The sequence below is a fragment of the Homo sapiens genome, chromosome 16, assembly GCF_000001405.40.
Source record: "Homo sapiens chromosome 16, GRCh38.p14 Primary Assembly".
NCBI lineage: Eukaryota > Metazoa > Chordata > Mammalia > Primates > Hominidae > Homo > Homo sapiens.
Genome location: NC_000016.10, coordinates 74,893,361 through 74,914,514, shown reverse-complemented (window position 1 = coordinate 74,914,514; position 21,154 = coordinate 74,893,361). Strand labels below are relative to the sequence as shown.

The 21,154-nt window shown below is 43.0% G+C and overlaps 1 protein-coding gene across 14 annotated transcripts in view; it reads left to right on the top strand.

Annotated features, from left to right (window-relative positions):
* The window catches only part of WDR59 (WD repeat domain 59), a 113,762-nt gene that overhangs the window by 70,609 nt on the left and 21,999 nt on the right, over positions 1-21,154 (top strand). For 6 of the 14 annotated variants that reach the window (XM_047434640.1, XM_005256146.4, XM_047434641.1 and 3 more), the window contains 7 exons: positions 2,153-2,317; positions 4,598-4,693; positions 4,858-5,014; positions 5,538-5,607; positions 10,415-10,568; positions 14,761-14,817; positions 20,703-20,836. In XM_047434640.1, coding sequence (XP_047290596.1) covers positions 2,153-2,317; positions 4,598-4,693; positions 4,858-5,014; positions 5,538-5,607; positions 10,415-10,568; positions 14,761-14,817; positions 20,703-20,836 — 833 coding nt within the window. Of the gene's footprint in view, positions 1-2,152; positions 2,399-4,597; positions 4,694-4,857; positions 5,015-5,537; positions 5,783-10,414; positions 10,569-14,760; positions 14,818-20,702; positions 20,837-21,154 lie in introns of those variants that run through there. The other 8 variants (XM_047434642.1, NM_030581.4, XM_047434646.1 and 5 more) reach the window with 6 other exon arrangements.

Below are 21,154 nucleotides of genomic sequence, written 5' to 3'. Positions count from 1 at the left end.
AGCTATTTGGTGGAAGAAACAACATGTGAATCCAGGTCTCCAGATTTGCCACATGTGGTTCTTTTCTCTTTACTCCAGCTGCTGTCTCTAGTTGGCAACACAAGAAATGAAAAGATATAAAGGATTCTTTGCTTAATTAGTGATCTATATCAAGTCAGTTTATACTCCCTTTGTCCCATTTGAGGACAGTGTGGATACCTAGTGATCTAGTTTAAGATCTTGATTCCTTTCTTCGAGAGTACTTTAAAAAAATTATTGAGATATAATTCACACAGTATAAAGTTCATCTTTTTTTTTTTATTGAGATGGAGCCTTGCTCTGTCCGCTCAGACTGGAGTGCAGTGGTGCTACCGTGACTCACTGCAGGCTCTGCCTCTCGGGTTCACGCGATTCTCCTGCCTCAGCTTCCCAGATAGCTGGGATTATGGGCGCACGCCACCACGCTCAGCTAATTTTTTTTCGTATTTTTAGTAGAGATGGGGTTTTTGCCATGTTGGCCAGGTTGGCCTCGAACTCCTGATGTCAGTTGATCTGCCCACCTTGGCCTCCCAAAGTGCTGGGATTACAGGCGTGAGCCACTGTGCCCAGCCAAAATTCCGCTTTTTAAAGTATATAATCTGGCTGTTGTGGGTATATTCACAAAGTTGTACAGCCATTACCATTGTCTGATTCCAGAACATATTCATCATTCCCAGAAGAAACCCCATACCCATGAGCAGTCACTCCCTATTTCCCCTTCCCTCAGCCCGTGGCAATCCCGAATCTACTTTCTTCCCCTATGGATTTTCCCAGGAGCACTTTTTAAGTTGAGTCTGGTATTTAACTTCTTCCTGCTTTATTTTCCCATCTCAAAGTAAATATAACAAGTTTCAGTCTACCCCACAGCTTTGGGAGGGAGGAAGCTTTGTTAAAGTCAGAATACTTTGAACTTCGTGGTGGCTCATGCCTGTAATCCCAGCACTTTAGGAGGCCAAGGTGGGTGGATCACTGGAGGTCAGGAGTTTGAGACCAGCCTGGCCAACATGGCGAAACCCCATCTCTACCAAAACACAAAAAGCAAAACAACAACAACAACAACAAAACAAAGATTTGCTGGGCATGGTGGCCTGTAGTCCCAGTATTTGGGAGGTTGAGGTGGGAGAATCACTTGAACCCAGAAGGTGGAGGTTGCAGTGAGCTGAGATTGTGCCACACTGCACTCCAGCCTGGGTGACAAAGTGAGACCCTGTCTCAAAAAAAAAAAAAAAGAATACTTTGTGTTGGGAACAGGCCCCCTGAAATCTGGCCATAAACTGACCCTCTGTGTTGTTTGTCTTTGTGTAGTCTGCAGATGTGGATCTTGACTCCTGCAAGAAGTAGCTCACCGTGACAAAGCTGCCTTTGCTTTTATCACTTTGCAAATCAAAGAAGGGGGACATGTTGGGAACAGGCCCCCCCCCCCCCCAAAATCTAGCCATAAACTGGCCCCAAAACTGGCCATAAAGTCTCTGCAGCACTGTGACATGTTCATGATGGTGGTGATGCCCACGCTGGAAGGCTGTGGGTTTACCGGAATGAGGGCAAGGAACACCTGGCCCACCCAGGGCAGAAAACCGCTTAAACACGTTCTTAAACCACAAACAATAGCATAAGCAATCTGTGCCTTAAAGACATACTCCTGCTGCAGATAGCTAGCCACAGCCCATCCCTTTATTTCAGCCCATCCCTTTGTTTCCCATAAGGAATACTTTTAGTTAATCTATAATCTATAGAAACAATGCTTATCACTGGCTTGCTGTGGATAAATACATGGGTAAATCTTTGTTCAAGGCTCTCAGCTCTGAAGGCTGTGAGACCCCTGATTTCCCACTCCACACCTCTATATTTCTGTGTGTGTGTCTTTAATTCTTCTGGCACTGCTGGTTTAGGGTCACCCCGACCGAGCTGGTCTCAGCAACTTTGAGCTTATTCCATTGGTTTGAAAATTTTAAGAATCTGGTATGAAAATTTAAGAATCTTTTTGAAAATGAATTGTCTTCCACACACATTTGTCTTTGTAGACTCTTTCCCTTCATTCAATTACCAGGAACATGGAGCGTTCAGTTAAATGTGCTTGCATCGAAAGACGCTTTATGGTTTGTTTCTACAGCAATTGTGGATTTGTCTCTTGCAGATGGATGCGGCAGACAGGAGCTGCACAGTGTCTGTGCACTGCAGCAACCATCGTGTCAAGATGCTGGTGAAGTTCCCTGCACAGTACCCAAACAACGCCGCCCCTTCCTTCCAGTTTATTAACCCCACAACCATCACATCCACCATGAAAGCTAAGCTGCTGAAGGTGGGGGTCTGGGTTCCCAAATTCTCCTTGCTGTTCTGCATCATTGTCTAGATGGATTAGTAAAGAAGAATGAAAACTCCAGTAGATGAGATTCGGAAGTCATCTGTTTCGTACACACACTAGTATTAGCAACGTAACCTCTGAACTTGCCATTTACTTTGTGCAGAAAACATCAGAGCAGTGGTTCTTAACCTTTTTTGGGTCATAGACTTCCTTTGAATTCTAATGAAAATTATGGACCCTTCCTCAGAAAAATCTGCACAATGATTGCATATGATTTGAGAAATATTGCCTGTAAATATGTGAATTGCATAGAATCTGCCCACAGATCTCATTAATACTATGCATTCATCTCCGGTTAGGAGATTTGCAATCCAATTTCATTTAGCAGCCCAGGTTAGGAGCCCTGCAGTCCAATTTCATTTACCTGAAAACAACAAGCAAGATGTATTCTGAAGCTAAAAGATATTTTATAATTAGAAAAAAACATATGTAAGGTCATAAAAAAAATTTTATCCCATAGAAGGAGCTGGTGTTATCCTAGAGACAGGCTGGCTAGCTGCACAGTAGGTGTCCAGGTGGAGGCACCACAGCCTGGCATCTGTGTTTAATTCTGCAGATTCAGAGATTTAATGCATCAGTTCATCCAGAGCAAATCAGGTGGAATCTCCATGACAAAGCCCCATGAGCCTCTTCATACCCGTTCAGTCTGAGCAGTGTCACAAGTGAAGGGACTGAAGTATTCTGACAAACTCAGGCCAAGCTGAATGTTGCTCATTTTTTGTCCAGTTTGGGTCGTGGACACTTGATTGTTCCACCTTGTTGGGGGTATCACATGGAACCAGGAAATTTTCAAGTGGCTTAAGGATCTCTGAAATGCCAGTAACTCAGATCTTGTGGTATTTGACATGTTAAACTTGGAATCTGAATATGCCGTTGCCTAGTTTGGACATACAAAAAAGATAGATTTTTCTGTTAGTATAAAATGATACGATTAGGTTGCGAACTCTTTTGTGTGTGAAAAATCAGACCTTTTCCGGGTGCGGTGGCTCACTCCCGTAATCCCAGCACTTTGAGAGGCTGAGGCGGGTGGATCACCTGAGGTCAGGAGTTCAAGACCAGCCTGGGCAACATGGTGAAACCCCATGTCTACTAAAAATAGAAAAAGTAGCCAGGCGTGGTGGCGCATGCCTGTATTCCCAGCGACTCGGTAGGCTGAGGCAGGAGAATCACTTGAACCCAGGAGGTGGGGGTTGTAGTGAGCCAAGATCACGTGGCTGCACTCCAGTCTGGGCAACAGAGACTGCTGAGGCAGGAGAATGGCTTGAACCTGGGAGGCGGAGGCTGCAGTGAGCGGAGATCATGCCATTGCACTCCAGCCTGGGCAGTAAGAGCGACACTCCTCAAAAAAACAAAGGAAAAATCAGACCTTGGCGATGACTCAGCAGTAGGATATAAATAACTCCCACAAGCTTAGTGTTCCAATAATGGAACATTAGGCATAAATGGGTTTAAAGTGTTAGGATTTATACTTTTGAAGGACAAAAAATATACATTATAATTTTCACTGAAGTGAAATCCATGCCTCTTGTCACTGAGAGCAATTTCAATCCAGGCCAGTGAGTATTACTTCTAAGGTACTGACGTTTCTCATGGAGCAAGTGGTGTTGGGGGTGAGGAAAAGGGCAGAGTTCACTAGAAAGAAGTAATAGTCCTTCTGTTACTGAAAGCTGCCCTCTCAAAATCCACGTGTGCTGCCTTGATTAAGGAAAGAGCTTCTCTAGGAGGGCTCAGGAGTGAATCCTGTTTTAACCTCGGTAGAGGTAGAAATTAGATTATTACACTGTGTTGGAAGCCTTGACTTAACCATGCACCTGGCTCCCAGCATCACCCTTGTGTCTGACCACTTTGCAGAAGAAAAGCCAATCAGGGCCGGGCGCAGTGGCTCATGTCTGTAATCCCAGCACTTTGGGAGGCCGAGATGGGCAGATCACTTGAGGTCAGGAGTTCGAGACCAGCCTGGCCAACATGGTGAAACCCCTTCTCTACTAAAAATACAAAAATTAGCCAGGCATGGGGGTGGGCGCCTGTAGTCCCAGCTACTCGGGAGGCTGAGGCACAAGAATCACTTGAAGACGGGAGGCAGAGGTTGCAATGAGCCGAGATCGTACCACTACACTCCAGCCTGGGCAACAAAGAGAGACTTTGTCTCAAAAAAAAAAAAAAAACCTATCAGAGAAATGTGTTCCTCTTCTTGACTGTGTTTTGGGCCTTTTCTAGATCCTGAAGGACACAGCCCTGCAGAAAGTGAAGCGTGGCCAGAGCTGCCTGGAGCCCTGCCTGCGCCAGCTCGTCTCCTGCCTTGAGTCCTTTGTGGTGGGAAGCATGAAACTGTCATACCAACTTAGGCTTTGGTGTTTTGTTTCATTTCTTTCTCCCTAAAATCATGGGTTTTCTGGTTTTGTCATACTGGGTCTTTATTTTGTAGTTCAGCTTTAAGACAGGTTGTGGTTTTTAGCTTGTGGATTTTTAAATTTCAGAACCAGGAAGACAGCGCTTCCAGCAACCCGTTTGCACTCCCCAACTCTGTCACTCCCCCCTTACCGACGTTTGCGCGGGTGACCACGGCTTACGGGTCGTACCAGGACGCCAACATTCCCTTTCCTAGGACTTCTGGGGCCAGGTTCTGCGGAGCAGGTGGGTCTCTTTGGTTCTTTGATTCTAGATTTCGAGAGGGAGCAGCTAAGAATGTCATAGATTCTGTATAAACATCTTCATCAGAAAATGTTTGCTTTTACTCCCGAGAACTCAAACGAGACTTTCATGGTAGCGTGGTAGGGTCTGAGGCCCAGTCGGTGTCTGTGGACTTATCCTAAGAGGGTGCACCAGAATGGGGGTCTTAACTTTCTTCATTCTGATGAGCTTGGATTTGAGTCTTTACTCAGAGCCCTGATTCTTAGCAGGGGGCATTCGCCTGGTAGGGAGGCTTAGAGTCCTGCTGATGACTCTGCCCAGTCCACATACATCCTCTCTCCTGGATCCTGGAGCGCTGACCTTTGTTCCTGGTAAGGGTGACTGCAGTCAGGAGTCTTGCAGCTTATGAAAATGTGTCTTACCCTCAGGTGTACAGAGATAGAAGAAAGACTGGCCAGTCCTGCCTCAGGATTTCCCACGGCCAGCTTGTTGACACTGATGGCTCATGTGATGTCTCCTCCTTTAGGTTACCTGGTATATTTCACAAGGCCCATGACAATGCATCGGGCGGTGTCTCCCACAGAGCCTACTCCGAGGTGAGTCAGGGAGATGCAGAAGCCGCTCTACGTTCCCGGGGCCAGAAGTGGCCAGAGACCTGGGAAGGACCACTGAGTTTGCTTTTGGACAGTGCATTTCAGTTCTTCAGTAAACTCCCATTATAAGATTTATTTGAGAAAGATTGAAGTCAATTAAATTGCAAAAAAGCTGTGATTTCTGCTGTATGGTTATTACCAAACCATTAGAAGAGGTAGCTTGATAAAAGCTATTGTCAAAACAAGGCAAATTCTTTTTAAATGTGCCTTTCCCCTATTGCTAGCATATTATTTATTATTTGTTTTTAATTATTTTATTATTCAATTTAACTAACATTAAATAAAACTGGAAAAATAACAAAAGACCATCTGTAGTTTCACAGCACTAATATGCCACTTCTAATATTACCAAACAATATGTAATTTTAAAACATTCCATAAGTAGTACATTGTGAAAACACAAACGTGGAAGTTTTTTTCTTTTTTCTTTTTTTGAGACAGGATCTGGCTCTGTCACCCAGGCTGGAGTGCAGTGGCATGATCATAGCTTACAGCAGCCTCTGCCTTCTGGCTGAAGTGATCCTCCTGCCTCAGCCTCCCAAGTAGCTGGGACTACACGTGTGCACCACCATGTCTGGCTAATTTTTATAATTTTTTGTAGAGATAGGGTTTTGCAGTGTTGCCAGGCTGGTCTCAAACTCCTGAGCTCAAGCAATCCACCTGCCTCAGCCTCTCAAAGTGCTGGGGTTACAGGTGTGAGCCACCATGCCCAGCCTGGAAGTTTTAAATTACAACGCAAAAGCCCTTCTTTTCATTTTCCCTGTTTTAGAGAGAATCATGTTTAACAACAGAACATGTTTCTGTCTAGTCATTATTTTTCTGTGCATTAAAAAAAGTTTTTCTTTATAGGCAATCTATTGTAGCAGATAGGAATATAGACTTCAGAGCCAACGTGCCCAGATCCAGATTTTGGCCCTGTCATTTTATGACCTTGGGCAAGTTATCTAAACTTCAGCTTCAGTTCCTTCAACAGTAACATGGGGATCATCATAGCACTTACCACCTGCAGTTGCTGGGAAGATTAAGTCCCTCTAAAAATGTTTAAAACACCACCTGGTACATTGGAAGTGCTCCATGTTTCCTGTTTTGATTACTGGTTTTTAAAGCTTTAGGATTATACAGTAGACTTCTGGTTCCGCAGTCTGGTGACCAAGATATAATAAGTTGCAAACCTCCCTGCTGCAAACCCCTGAAGGCGCTGGATACAGTGTAATCAGCATAGACATTGTATTAGTCCGTTCTCACACTGCAAGAATTGCCCAAGACTGGGTAATTTATAAAGAAAAGAGGTTAGTTGACTCACAATTCCACATGGCTGGAGAGGCCTCAGGAAACTTAAAATCGTGTTGGAAGGAGAAGAGGCACTTCTTACATGGCGGCAGGCGAAAGAGAGTGTGTATGTGAAGGAGAAACTGTCAGATCTTATAAAACCATCAAATCTCATGAGAACTCACTCACTATCATGAGAACAGCATGGGGGACGCCGCCCCCATGATCCAATCACCTCCCACTGTGTCCCTCCCTTGACATGTGGGGATTGTGGAGATTACAATTCAAGATGAGATTTGGGTGGGGACACAAAGCCTAACCATATCAGTTATGAATGAATAGCTGAGCTAACAAGAAAGAGAGAGAACTGGATGAGAGAACTGTGTGAGCAGACACTGCTGTTTTGCCAAGAGGTGGCCAATCTCTGCAGTAACCTGGGCAGATGTGACCTGGGCCCCATGGGAACTGGGGTTCAGTACTAGGGAACACCTACATTACACCCGATTCCTTATTGGAGTAGAAAACAGTCCTGTATTCTCAAAGGGAAAGAAGGAATAACTGTATCTGGACTTTGGATTGGAGGGGAAAATGTTCCTATTAGAATGTTTTCCCACTGACAGTCCTTTACTGAGATAGTTTACGATACACAAATATGAAGTGTATGGCTTGGTGACCAACACTCATATCAAGATATAGAACACTGTCCTCACCCACAAAGGTTCCCAGTCCCTTTTCCCCGCCCTTCAGCACCCAGAGGACACCACTCTCTTGACTTCTGTCATGGTAGTTTTGCCTGTTCTTGAACTTCATTGAAGTGGAATAGTGCGGCATGACCTGTTTTATGTCTGGCTTACTTTGCTCAACTTAATGTTATTGACATTGATCCACATTGCTGCATGTGTCAGCAGGTCCATTGTATGAATGCAACACAGTTTGTTTATTCGTTGTCCTGTGGATAGATAGTTGCATCCTTTCCAGTTTTCGGCCATTATGAGCAAACCTGGACACATATGTTCATAAAAAGACTTGTATATTAATTTCTGCACCTGAGGAGCAGAATTCCTCAGTCATCAGATAGATGTATTTTTAACTTGAGAAACTGTCCAAAAGTTTGTGCACAGTGGTTGTGCCATTTACCCTGTCACTAGCAATGTTTCAGAGCACTGGTTGCTCTGTATCCACTCCAAAACTTGGTATTGCTAGTCCTTTCAACTTTAGCCATTCTGTTGTGAGTGTCCTAGTATCTCACTGTGGGTTTTTTTTTTTTTGAGACGGAGTCTTGCTCTGTCGCTCAGGCTGGAGTGTATTGACTGGATCTCAGCTCACTGCAAGCTCCGCCTCCCGGGTTCACGCCATTCTCCTGCCTCAGCCTCCCGAGTAGCTGGGCCTATAGGCGCCCGCCACCACGCCCGGCTAATTTTTTGTATTTTTAGTAGAGACCATGTTTCACCGTGTTAGCCAGGATGGTCTCGATCTGCTGACCTCGTGATCTGCCTGCCTCGGCCTCCCAAAGTGCTGGGATTACAGGCGTGAGCCACCGCGCCCGGCCGTCTCACTGTGGTTTTAATTTGCATTTCCATGTTGATGATGAATGATGTCGAGCAGCTTCTGTGTGCATATTGACCATTTGGGTATCTTTTTTTGTGATGTGCTTGTTAAGTATTTTGCCCATTTTGGGGGAACTGTATCTTATTTGTTTCTGGTTGTTATCTATTTTGGTTGCAAATTCTTTGCTAGATGTATGTATTGATTTTCTCTTCATCTGTGGCTTGTCTTTCTCCCTCTTTAATGTTTTTCAATGAACAAATTGTCCTAATTTTGATGATGTCCAGTTTATCACTTTTTAATTTTATTTATTTTATTTTATTTTTTTATTTTTTATTTATTATTATTATTTTTTGAGTCAGAATCTCGCTCTGTTGCCCAGGCTGGAGTGCAGTGGTGCAATCTTGGCTCACTGCAAGCTCCACCTCTCAGGTTGATGCCATTCTTCTGCCTCAGCCTCCCGAGTAGCTGGGACTACAGGCGCCCGCCACCACGCCTGGCTAATTTTTTGTATTTTTTAATAGAGACGGGGTTTCACCATGTTAGCCAGGATGGTCTCGATTTCCTGACCTCGTGATCTGCCTGCCTCAGCCTTCCAAAGTGCTGGGATTACGAGCGTGAGCCACCGTGCCCGGCCTATTTATTTTATTTTTTATTTTTTGAGACGGAGTTTCGCTCTTGTTGCCCAGGCTGGAGTGCAATGGCGCAATCTCAGCTCACCACAACCTCCGCCTCCCGGGTTCAAGTGATTCTCCTGCCTCAACCTCCCGAGTAGCTGGGATTATAGGCATGCGCCACCACGCCTGGCTAATTTTGTATTTTTAGTAGTGATGGGGTTTCTCCACGTTGGTCAGGCTGGTCTTGAACTCCCGACCTCAGGTAATCTGCCCGCCTTGGCCTCCCAAAGTGCTGGGATTATAGGCGTGAGCCACCGCACCTGGCCTTGTGTTTTCTTTTAAAAGCTTTATAGAAAAATAAATAAAAATGAAAGCTTTATAGATTTAAATTCCTTATTTGAGGTCTGTGATCCATTTCAAATTAATTTTTGCATGTAATGTGAGTTAAGGGGTCAAAGTTCGTTTTATTTTGTAGAGAAAAATAGTTGTTCTAGCACCATTTATGAAAAGATTTCCTTTCTTTGTTGAATTTGTATTGATGCCTTGGTGAACATCAATAGACCATATATTTGTGGTCTTTCTGGACTCTCTTTTTTCCTTTGATCTATTTATCCTTTATGCCAACACTACATTCATAATGTACTTTTCTATAGTTAAGTGTTTAAATCTGATAGGTCAAGTCCTCCAATTATATTATTCTTGTTTAGTTCAGGTTGGCTGTTCTAGGTCTTTCAATAAAATTATAAAATCAACTTATTAGTTCCTACTAAAAAGCCTGCTTGTATTTTGATTGGAATTGTGTTGACTCTGTAGATCAATTTAGAGAAAATTGATGTCTTAAGAATATGGACTCTTCCAATCCTTGCGTGGTATATTTCTCCATCGTTGTATGTCTCCTTTAATTTCTCTCATCAGCATTTTGTATTTTCACGCACATTTTCAAAAATTAAATTTATTCCTAGGTATTTGACGTGTTTTAATGCTACTATAAATGAGCTTTTAAAATATTTATTTTCCAAATATTTGTTTCTAATTGATAGAACTATAGTAGATATTTGTAGGTTGACCTTGTATTCAAATTCACTTATTCTAGTAGTTTGTAGATTCCTTTGAATTTTTTATGTCTGTAATCATAGAAGCATTCTATGCTTGTGCAGATAAAGCATTTTTCAGTGTTAAAAGTTTTATTGACTTCTTTTTCTGGAGTTTCCATCTTCTCATTTTGTCTTCTCCTTTTGGTATCAAGTGCTAAGAATAGCACCACTTGGAAATATGACAGGACTGCAGCCAGTGTGGATAATTATCATTTTCAACTACAGATCTCTCTCAGCCTTGTCTGCTTATCACACTGGCTTGATCGCGCCCATGAAGATCCGCACAGAGGCCCCTGGGAACCTTCGTTTATACAGTGGGAGCCCCACTCGCAGCGAGAAAGAGCAGGTCTCCATCAGCTCCTTCTACTACAAGGAGCGGGTAAGTGCCAGAGCCGTAGCCTTTGATTCTTACCCCTTCTCCTGGATTCTTGTTCCTCATCTCCTGCCTGGCGCAGCAGCTAGATTAGTAATCACCCTGTAGCCTTTCACTTTCGTAATCAGTTTGTTCAAGAAAGTCATTACTTTGTTCCTTTCAGTTGGTTTTACCTGCTATAAATTGTGTGTGTATGGGTCAGGGGGCCGTTCTTATGGTCCGTAATCTTTACTCCCCATTTAGCCTTGTCCTTGTAATCTCCACTCGTAATCTCCACTCCCTGAGTTGATTCCCATTATTTCAGGGTAGAATACCTTAGCTTCAAGTCTTCCATGGTATTCTGATGTTTCTCAGCAAATTAAGGAATGCCTCTGGAGTCTTGGGATCTCAATATATTTGGAACTTGATGGTTGTGAGAAGTCTTAAAGTTAATGTCTGAAAGGTTTTTTGTTTTTTTTTTTATACTAAGTCTACATGGAAATACCTATCTGAGTGGACCAGATGATACAAAAATCACCTGAGCTTGTCCTTATGTGCCTAGTTTCTTAAATAACTCATTGTCCCTAAAGTAGTTATCATTAAGCTGTCAGAAACCCTTGGTGCCAACCATGTAGAGAAAGTTGGCAGAGAAAGCTTTCTGTGTTGACAGATTGCAGGTCTGGCTTAAACAGACTTCTAGCTGACATGATGTTTTAAACAGAGTTACCACTGAGCACTGCACAAACTCAGTCCTTAGGAATTCTTTGTTGTTATCTCTCGCTCAGTGGGAAATAATGGATTGTAATTAATATTTGTTTTTAAAAAATTGAATTATTTTGGACAAAACACCCATTTCTAGGAAGTATTAGAAGTTCCTTCAGTTCGATTGCAGTAGAATGTCCAACCTTCTTGGTTTACACTGAGAGTTGACCATCTCTGACTTTATTTTAGGGTTGTATGTGACTAAAATGAGTGGCAGCAACTGGTGTTTGAGACCAGACCAGTCTTGAGCAAAACCATTTAGTTGAATAGGGAAAATGATTTTTTTTTTTTTTCTGGACACTTTCCTATAGTCCCCTTCCTCACATCTCTGATGGAATTCTGCCCACTTGGCTAGTACAGACCTCCTTGGAACACCCACTAATCTATATCATTTCCAAGTCCTTTCCATTCAAAATTGTTGGTTCTTTTTTCCCACATGTTTGCAGGTAACTGGAGAGATGATTTGATAAACAGGTTGGAACTAAGACATTTTGTTGAGATGAAAGCCAGGCTCATGGTTGGGTACATGTGGGGTTTTCTTTAGTGTCAGGGCCAGGTCAAGGAGGTCTTTCAATCCAAGAGGCAGTTCTGAATTCCTCTCCGATTTGTGTCGTGTGCCACCCATGCTTGGGTTCAGATTGGGCAGAATAGATTGACTCGTAATTTTCACTTTGTGGGGGTGTGTAAAGCCCACTCTAATCAAAATAACTCCAGTTCCAAGATGAGGCCTCTTTTAAGCCTGTGTCCATGTTTTTGATGGTATGGCCTTTTTTACTACAAACACCGTAATTATAAAGAGGAACCAAGAGCACGTGGATAATTCTCTCATCAGAGAATATCTGATAGTATCTGCAGGGGAGTGGAGAAGAGTTGTGAAATTTCAATTTGGGGTGGTTCCCAGTGTTCTGTTCTGCACAGAAAGTGGGTGGTTCGAGCCCCGTAATAGACATAGTAAGTGGCCTTTTATGTTTTATTTCAAATAGTGACCAAATAAACTGGGGTGATGCTTTGATTATAATTTCATATGAAACTCTTATATTGATATATACCAAATACACAAAAGTTCACAAATCAAAGTTGTGTATAGTTCAGTGAATTAATAATCACACAGGTCAAGAAATAGAACATTTCAGGAACCTCAGAAACCTTGGATTATTGGCTTAAATCATACGAAATTGCTGATATTTGACCATTTTTGACCTAAACAAAGATTCATGTGGTTCAACTTAATAGGTTAACAAGATAAAAATGAATAAGTCAGTCATTTTGTGATGAATTTGACATAAATTTCTCTCTCCTTGAAGTTTGTTCACATCCATCCCGTTTATGTAGGGGCCAAGGGGGGAATTACATAAGCGTGATATGGCCATGATATCTTACGTGGGCTGCTTTACCTCCCTTACAAAGGTCGATAATCCTTGAGGAGCATTTTCTAATCCTCAGCTGCCTAGTTTCACATGTCAAATGATGTCACTTTTGTTGCTTTTGTTCTGGAAATGATTCCAGTCTACTAAATTTCTGTTTGTGTTTTGTGGTTTTGGAATTTTTTTTTTTTTTTTTAAGAGATGGGGCCTCACTCTGTTGCCCATTGCCCAGGCTAGAGTGCAGTGGTGTGAACATGGCTCACTGCAACCTCAGACTCCTGGGCTCGAGTGATCCTTCCACCTCAGCCGCCTCCTGAGTAGCTAGAACTACAAGAGTACACCACATCACCCAGTTAATTAAAAACAAATATTTTTATAGAGCTGGGGTCCCGCTATGTTGCCCAGGCTGGATTTCTCTGTGTTTAGGTCTTCATTTTTAGCCCAAATTTTTCTCCTACATATTTTTATTCCATGGTAGATCTCTGCCCCTGAGAGCTTTAAATGAGTGAGAGTAACAGAATGGAATGTAACTGCCTTAAGGCATAGCAATGAGGGAAGTATAGTGGGTTTTTGGTTTGGGGGCTTTTTTTGGTCTGTGTTTTGTAGAGATGAGGTCTTGCTATGTTGCCCAGGCTGGTCTCAAACTCCTGGGCTCTTGCAGTCCTCCCACCTCAGCCTCCCAGAGTGCTGGGATTGTAGCCATGAGCCATCTCACCCAGCCAGTATAGAGTTTTTTTGTTTTTTGTTTTGAGACAGCATTTTGCTCTTGTTGCCCAGGCTGGAGTGCAAAGGCGCGGTCTCTGCTCACTGCATCCTCTGCCTCCGGGTTCAAGCGATTCTCCTGCCTTAGCCTCCCAAGTAGCTGGGATTACAGGTGCCCAACACCATGCCCGGCTAATCATGGTTTCACCATGTTGGCCACGCTGGTCTCGAACTCCTGACCTCAGGTGATCCACCTGCCTTGGCCACCCAAAGTGTTGGGATTACAGGCGTGAGCCACTGCACCCGGCCCAGTGTAGTGTATTTTTGAGATAACAAAACATCTTTTAGAGCCATTTAGAGATTATTGTTTGTTTCTCTTGTGGCTTTGTGTGTTTTTAACCTGCCCTACTTAGGTTATATTGTTATGTTCACCCAAATATTCTCTAGATGGAATGCCAAGCTTTGCTCCTAAAAATTTTAAAACGTGTGACGCCTCAAAAGCCATCAAATTGCTAACATTCATTTGACAAGTGAACCGACTCTTAATAGCTGATGAAATGTTGTTCATTCCTAGGGTAGATCAGAAGGCCCAGAACTTAGGATAAGCTTTAGGTATTGCCTTGCATACATTTAAACATTGTTGCAACCTCCCACTCTTGCTTTAGTTTATGTTACTAAAATAGCTCTCATGTAAATAACTAGAGAGATCTTTAAGTTAATAGAATAATTTCTGATCTCCGTAAACAGATACTCATATTGTTAGCAAAGGTGCTTTCAAGAAGGTCTCTCCTCAGCATTAGCCCCTTCCTTCCCCCCGTTTCTCCAGGGTTCCCATTTCCCCATGGTGTCACTCTGAAGATAGTCCTGCAGGCCCAATGTCAAGACACCCAATTCCCTCATCACCCCCCAAACACTTACCAGAAAAAATTTGGTATTGAGCCTATTCAAGAATGTCTTCTTTTTAGGAATGAGTATGTGCTCTCAATATATGTTCTCCTTCTTACCTCCTACAGGGGAAAACAGGCTTCTGCCTATTTCTCCACTTGCACAATGATCTCAGTGTGTGTTAGTGTTCCTCAAACCTATTTGTAGTTCCTTTGTCAGAACTGTGTTGATGTCAGCCTCCATATACCTTGAAATGTGACTAAAAGAACAATGAAATTGAAGCTGTGTTTGGAGTGTGATGGGGTGGGAGGGAGGTGAGGGAAGCCGAATTCCGCTGTGCTTAGGTTCAGATTTTTTAGTCGTTCCCATCCCAACTGTACAGTGTATTATGGTACATTGGAATCCATCGGATGTGTGGGAAGCTTTCATTTTATTCTATATTTTTCCCTTTTAATTTTCTTGGTGTTTTTCTTCCCTCCTCCTGGGTGTAACGTTTTCATGCACAGATGTCTCCTCGCTCTGCCCGGCGGCGTTGGTCCATACAAGCAATTAACGACTTCCCGGTACTGTGCGCTGTGCAAATGCTCTCCTTAACTAATCCTGTCTCTACCCGAGGCCCAAGAATAAAATGCCACCTGCCTGGCTTTGAGGAACCTGAAATGACAGGCGAGCTGTTTTCAGGACCAGCAACAGTCAATTTTTTGCTTGGGGGAGTTCAGACACCAAGGGCTGCCTCCTTGTCCAATCACAGAGTTTCAAATGGCTAATATTGTCAGGGATCCTGAATGGACTCTTTTGGCAAAGGAAAGTTAATGCTGGGTTTCTTGGAAAGAACCCTGATTGTAAGCCGTTAGCTTACCCAATTTCACTTGGAGCATTTGTGTAATTTTTTGGAGCTTTCAAAAGCCTACCTTTGGCATGGGGGGAGCAGAGGAAGATATAAGAGGCTTCCACTATTTTGTCTCTGCTTTTACAGTCCTGGTCTAGTTCACAGAGGGAGGTGCCCACCTGCTTCATTGGCATAACACGGAAGCTAGCTTTTATCCTTTGGGAAGTTTCTGAAACAAATTTTTTTCCTTACCATCAATATTTTGTGTAGACAGTAAAACCTCCGCTGTGGACATCCTCTTTTCCTTTTCTTTCTTTCTTACTCCTATTGGCCATTTCCCCTCTTCTGTCTTCCTCTCCCATCCCTTCATGTTTCAGTAGTGCCAAGGTGACCTCACGCTGTGCAAGGCAGCCGTGAGGCTTTGTATAAATTTCATTTGGTATAAAGAATATTCAGGGGAATCATCCTATAGCCTTGTCATAGAAAACCAGTTGGAATCAGAAGCCCCGATTAGCAAGTACCACTGCTGCCAACAACTTGTAGGTGGAGCCACCAACGGGGCCACCTTCCAAAAGCCTGTCCCAGCCAACCCGACTGCTGAATTTCCACTGATTGTCCAAAAGTCCCTGCTCCCACTGCTATTTAAATAGGGACTCATTTAGACTCCCTGCCCGCTCTGCGGATTATGCATTGCTAATGGGGTTTCTGCGAAGCAGTTGGTGGCTTATTCTTGGGCTGCTTTTACATTCAACCCATTTATTGGCATCAATGTTGCCTCTGATCGTAGCAGTAACACTGGTGGTACAGTCGCAAGCTGGCTATTGGTTGTCATTCAGTGCTATTTGCACCAATGCCTCCCTCCTGCCCCCCAACCCCCACCCCACTCCGTTCTTCCTTGTCCTCTTTGCCATAACTCCATGAACACCTTCTTGGTTTGTTCAGAGGGGCAGCCTGGTGCTCATCATGTAATAATTTGTCTGTCTTGCTTTGTCTCTTTTCCCTCAATTTCTTCTCATGAAATCTGTGGGGACAGGACATTTTCTATTGATGGAGCATTGAAAGGATCAAATCCTTTTCCTCCCAGAGGTACTAACTTTACTGCATAGAGAGGTATCCATATTTAAGCCCGTCAGAGTGGGACTGGAGCAATGCAGGAGGATCAGGGGCTTTTAGACCATGGCGCCCTTCCCCAGTGCAGAAAGATCAACCACACCTTAGCCTCATGTGTCAGTATGCTCTGGAACCAGAGGATCATAAAAGAAATCCATATGTTATTACCTGGCAGTTGCAGAGACAAGAGAGACTCCAAACATTGCCAGCAAGATATTAAGGGGAAAATTTCTTAGGAGAGAAGTGGATGGAACATGAGTGGTTCTTATTGCCAGAGCACTGGGGAAAATACCCTGAAAAGATGTCCATCTACTCATTAGCTAGCAGCAAAGGCCTAAGACCCCAACTAGTATCTGACCTGATTTGAGATTTCACCTCTCCAGCTAGACAGCCTCGTTAAATTAGAATCCCCAGAGTAATTGGCCAGCAGGCAGGATTACCAAGTGACCCCTGAAGCCTGAAGGGGAGATATTTATGTTTAAAAACCACTAACCAACACATTATAAAAAACCGACAGTGACAGTATTTTGCAGCCCCTTAGAGATTTTTGACAATGTTTTGCAGTTATTTCTTGCTGGATTAAAAAAATTTACAGCACTGTCCCGTAATTGCTTTTACAGTTTGGTTCCGGTAGCAACTCTAATTAGGGTGATCCTTTGTTGGGGAACCTCCCTTATGGCAGGCTTAAAGGCAGCTGAGTGAGGTTTCATAAAGCACCTCTTATCCATCCAATACGGATCAAACAGAAGGACCTAGAAGCCTGGTGTCTCAAGAAGTCCCAGGAAACACAGACTGTGATTTTCATAATTCATTGAAGAATCATTGCAAAAAGTTGCAAAGACCACTGTCTATATTTGCATCAAGTATGGATGGGTCACGTAGGTTTGTTTCTACCGATCTTTGTAACCCAAAGCTGCAAATGGGGGAAGAGTCCCTAAGACATCTCTTTAGACTCTTAGTTTTCTTCTGTCTGAATGTGCCTAATCCTAACAAACCCCAAAGCCTAAACACTGTGAGGTGCCCGGCCTGAAATGCAGCATCTTGGTCTGAATCTGGCCTGCCCCGCTATGAAGCCATGTAGCTGCAGGAACTGCAGATCTTCAGTAGACACTTGGGCTGAGCAGAACAGAGTCACGATGCTGACAGAAAGTGACTAAAGAAGTGAGTCATCGTAGAAGGGTGGAGCTGGACAGGCATCGCTGGAATCCAGTGCCAATCTCCTTCATGCAGAAATGGATCCATTAAAAAATGGACCAAGCAATTTCCATATTAACAGGGAGCTTAGAATTTATTTATTAGTTTTTAATATAAAATTATATACTGAAAATCAAGTTAACAAGAATGAGCTTAGCAGCCTGACAGGCCTGTGTTCAAATCTCAGCGCTGATGGCTGTGACCTAGAGTAAGCCTCATGTCCTCATCTGTAAAGTGGAAGTAGTATCCCTCATCACAGAGCTGTCGTAAGTGAGGCTTATACTAGCACAGAATGAGCAATCCAGGAGCAGGAGCTGATACTGTAAGTCCTCAGTCAAACATTTGTATACTTGGACTTGTGTCATTTGTCAATTTCAAATGGGCTAGTCTGTTTTGCAAATGAACTGCTTTGGGCATATGAATCTTAATTAATAATATGCTTTTATTAGGTTTGTTTTAAAGGTCAGGAAATTGTGAATTTTTTTTTTTTTTTTAGGCAGGGTCTTGCTCTGTTGCCCAGGCTGGAGTGCAGGGGCGCGACCTCAGCTCACTGCAACTTCTGCCTCCCGGGTTCAAGCAATTCTCCTGCCTCAGCCTCCCGAATAGCTGGGACCACAGGTCCACGCCCCCATGCCCTGCTAATTTTTGTATATTTTGTATAGACAGGGTTTCACCATGTGGGCCAGGGCCGGGCTGGTCTCGAACTCCTGGCCTCAGGTGATCTGCCTGCCTTGGCCTCCCAAAGAGTGGGATTACAGGTGTGAGCCACTGCACTTGGCCCATGGTTATTTTCAGTGTGTTCTGTAAGCTAGTAGACCTCATCCTTCATTGAGGCCTTCAATTCAGCTGTGTAGTTAAACTGAACGATAGTGAATTGCTCAATTGTTTAAGTGCTTCTCATTCTCTTTTTGGAATAAAGAACCAGAGTGACTGCCTGGATCGGTGTTTTAGAAGCCTTCCACCCTATCCAGAAGACCAAATTAGATGGATCATATTCCATTCTAGGTGGAATCTTTCTGGCATAGATTTTTTTTTTTTAATCCAGTGCCCTGAGTCTCACTTGAGATGACCAGTTATGTGGGGCCTGTGGGTGTGTTGTTTCCTGGGCTTTTTAAAGTCCTGGAAACCTGAATGAAAATCACAGTGAATGAGCTTGTGTACCTTGTAATTTCCCTGTTCTCGTTAAGCCCCTTGTGCTGTTCACTGTCACTGCAGGGTAGACATAGGCTAAATGACCCTCCCTAAAACAGGCCCTGCCATAGTATTTAGTGCACATGTGACTACGTCTGTCTTAGGTCAGTAACACTGCCTGGCTCCAGCCCATTCTGACAGGTTATTTGCTCTTTAACGTATCCTCCCCTTACTTACACCCATGTCAGGATGATTGTGTCTAAAAGGATAGCACTTTTGTGTGTATGCACATAATTTTTTAGAAAACCAGGGCAAGTAGGAATGGAAGGGCTACCCCATAATAATTGATAAAGCTTCCCCTTGTATTGCAGAATAATGACTTGGGTATGGATAAATGGTAAATAGTCACTGAACTGCTTCTTAAGATCAAATGGGGCCGGGCGTGGTGGCTCATGCCTGTAATCTTAGCATTTTGGGAGGCCAAGGTGGGTGAATCACTTGAGGTCAGGAGTTCAAGACCAGCCTGGCCAATATGGTGAAACCCTGTCTCTACTAAAAATACAAAAATTAGCTGAGTATGATGGTGCATGCCTGTAATCCCAGCTACTCGGGAGGCTGAGGCAGGAGAATCACTTGAACCCCGGAGGCGGAGATTTCAGTGAGCCAAGATCACACCACTGCACTCCAGCCTCAGCAACAGAGCAAGACTCTGTCTCAAAAGAAAAAAAAATAAAAAGATCAAACGGGTTAAAGTTCCAAATTGATAGTGTAACATGCATTTACAAATGATGATAAACAGTTCACAGATACTTCAGCTAAACTTCTTCATTTACCTGCCCTGAACTAACTCCACATGTCCTGAATTTAGTAGGTTCCAAGACACATGATAACCCTATAGGAAGTTACATGCATTGGACAACTTTAGGTATTAAATGGGATATCAGTGGTCAGAAACCCTTTATGGAAGAATGATTGTATAAAAATCACTTACAGAAAATGAATTTATTTGTGAGTAATCTAAATAATGGTCCAATTTAAATTCCTGAGAGTTTATATACATTCATAATAGTTACATGTTTCTAGAGTACACTTTTCCATTTAATTTGCACCCCTGCCTCTTCATTGTACGCTCATTAATCTTGTGAGATTGGAACAACAGAGGTCATGATTGGCCATAAGTTGTCAGTGAGCAAACAAAGTCACATGCCTTAGACTAAATTCATAACAAATAAAAACTTGCCGAGGGTCCTGCTGAGCCAGTACATGTAGTAGTAAGACCTGGAAATCTTGATTTTCTAATTCCAAATTGGAGGCCTTTTTACTAGCTCCTTTTGCCTTTTTTTGTTAATAAATATGTCACTCCTTCCTTAGTTGAATCACTTTGGTGACCCCCTTTTTAACTTCTGGCAATAAAATGGAATCCTGCTCCTTGGTTTGTCATTTTAAAGATTCCAGATGGGGCTGTGCTCTGATAATTCAAGTTTTTCAGGACATCTCTCATTTCACACATACAGGCTCCTCACACATGTAGCCACCCATAGGTAAGCCTGGGGAAATCGAATACTTGCCCACAATCTTCCATGTCTGTTACCCAAGCCCCTTGAATCAGGTATTTTTGACATTGAGAACGATCACTTTTAGAAATAATTCAAGTCTGCCAGAAAAACGGGGTAATTCTCCTCAAGGTGCAAAGTTTCTCTGTTTTCCTACCATATAGATTAAGGTTTGCAGAGCCCACACTGCTATGTCTGCAATAAATTTTCAACAAACCCTGTTCAAACTGCCTAAGGAAAAAAATTTTGATGAGTTTCAGGCAGGAATTTTGAACCTAGGACTGAATTCAATCTAAAAATTGTTCTCCCACATTTTTGTGGCCTTTACTAACTTATTTACTTGCTGTTTTCAAATTCATTAATTAATGTATTAATCCTGGCTTCCTGATATGTGTTTTTGAGCACCTGCAGAATGTATCTAGCCTGGCAGTAGGTGCTTATTTTCCTGTTAGGATTTTTGGAACAAGAGCTCATCCTTTTATTTCCTACAGATGCTGATTCCCATAATTGTGGGCATGATGTAATTTTTAAAAAGTGCAAATTGCCAATGACCCCAATATGATGAGCTCTGCAATTGTTGGTTTCCACTTGTCAAAGTCCCCATTAGTTACATCCTGTCATCTACCCCTAGAAATCAAGACGATGGAAAAGTAAGCGTGAGGGATCAGACTCTGGCAATCGACAGATCAAGGCTGCTGGGAAAGTCATCATCCAGGATATTGCTTGCCTCCTGCCTGTTCACAAATCGCTGGGAGAGCTGTACATGTAAGTACAAAATTTCAAGTCTGCTGCACTCATCATTTAGCCAGGATTAGCAAAACTTTTTTTTTTTTTGAGTGTGGGAATCCTTTCTTCAAAAGCAGTTTTAGGAAAAGCCCAATGTATTAGCTTTCTGTTGCTGTGGACAAATTCCCACAAACTTAGCAGCTTCCAACAACATTCATTTCTTATCTTCCAGTTTTTGTGGGTCGCGAGTCTGGACACAGCTTTTCTGTGTCCTTGCTTAGGGTCTCAGCAGGCTGAAATGGTGTTGGCCAGGCAGTGGTCTCATCCGATGCAAAGCTCCTCTTCCAAGCTTGTTCA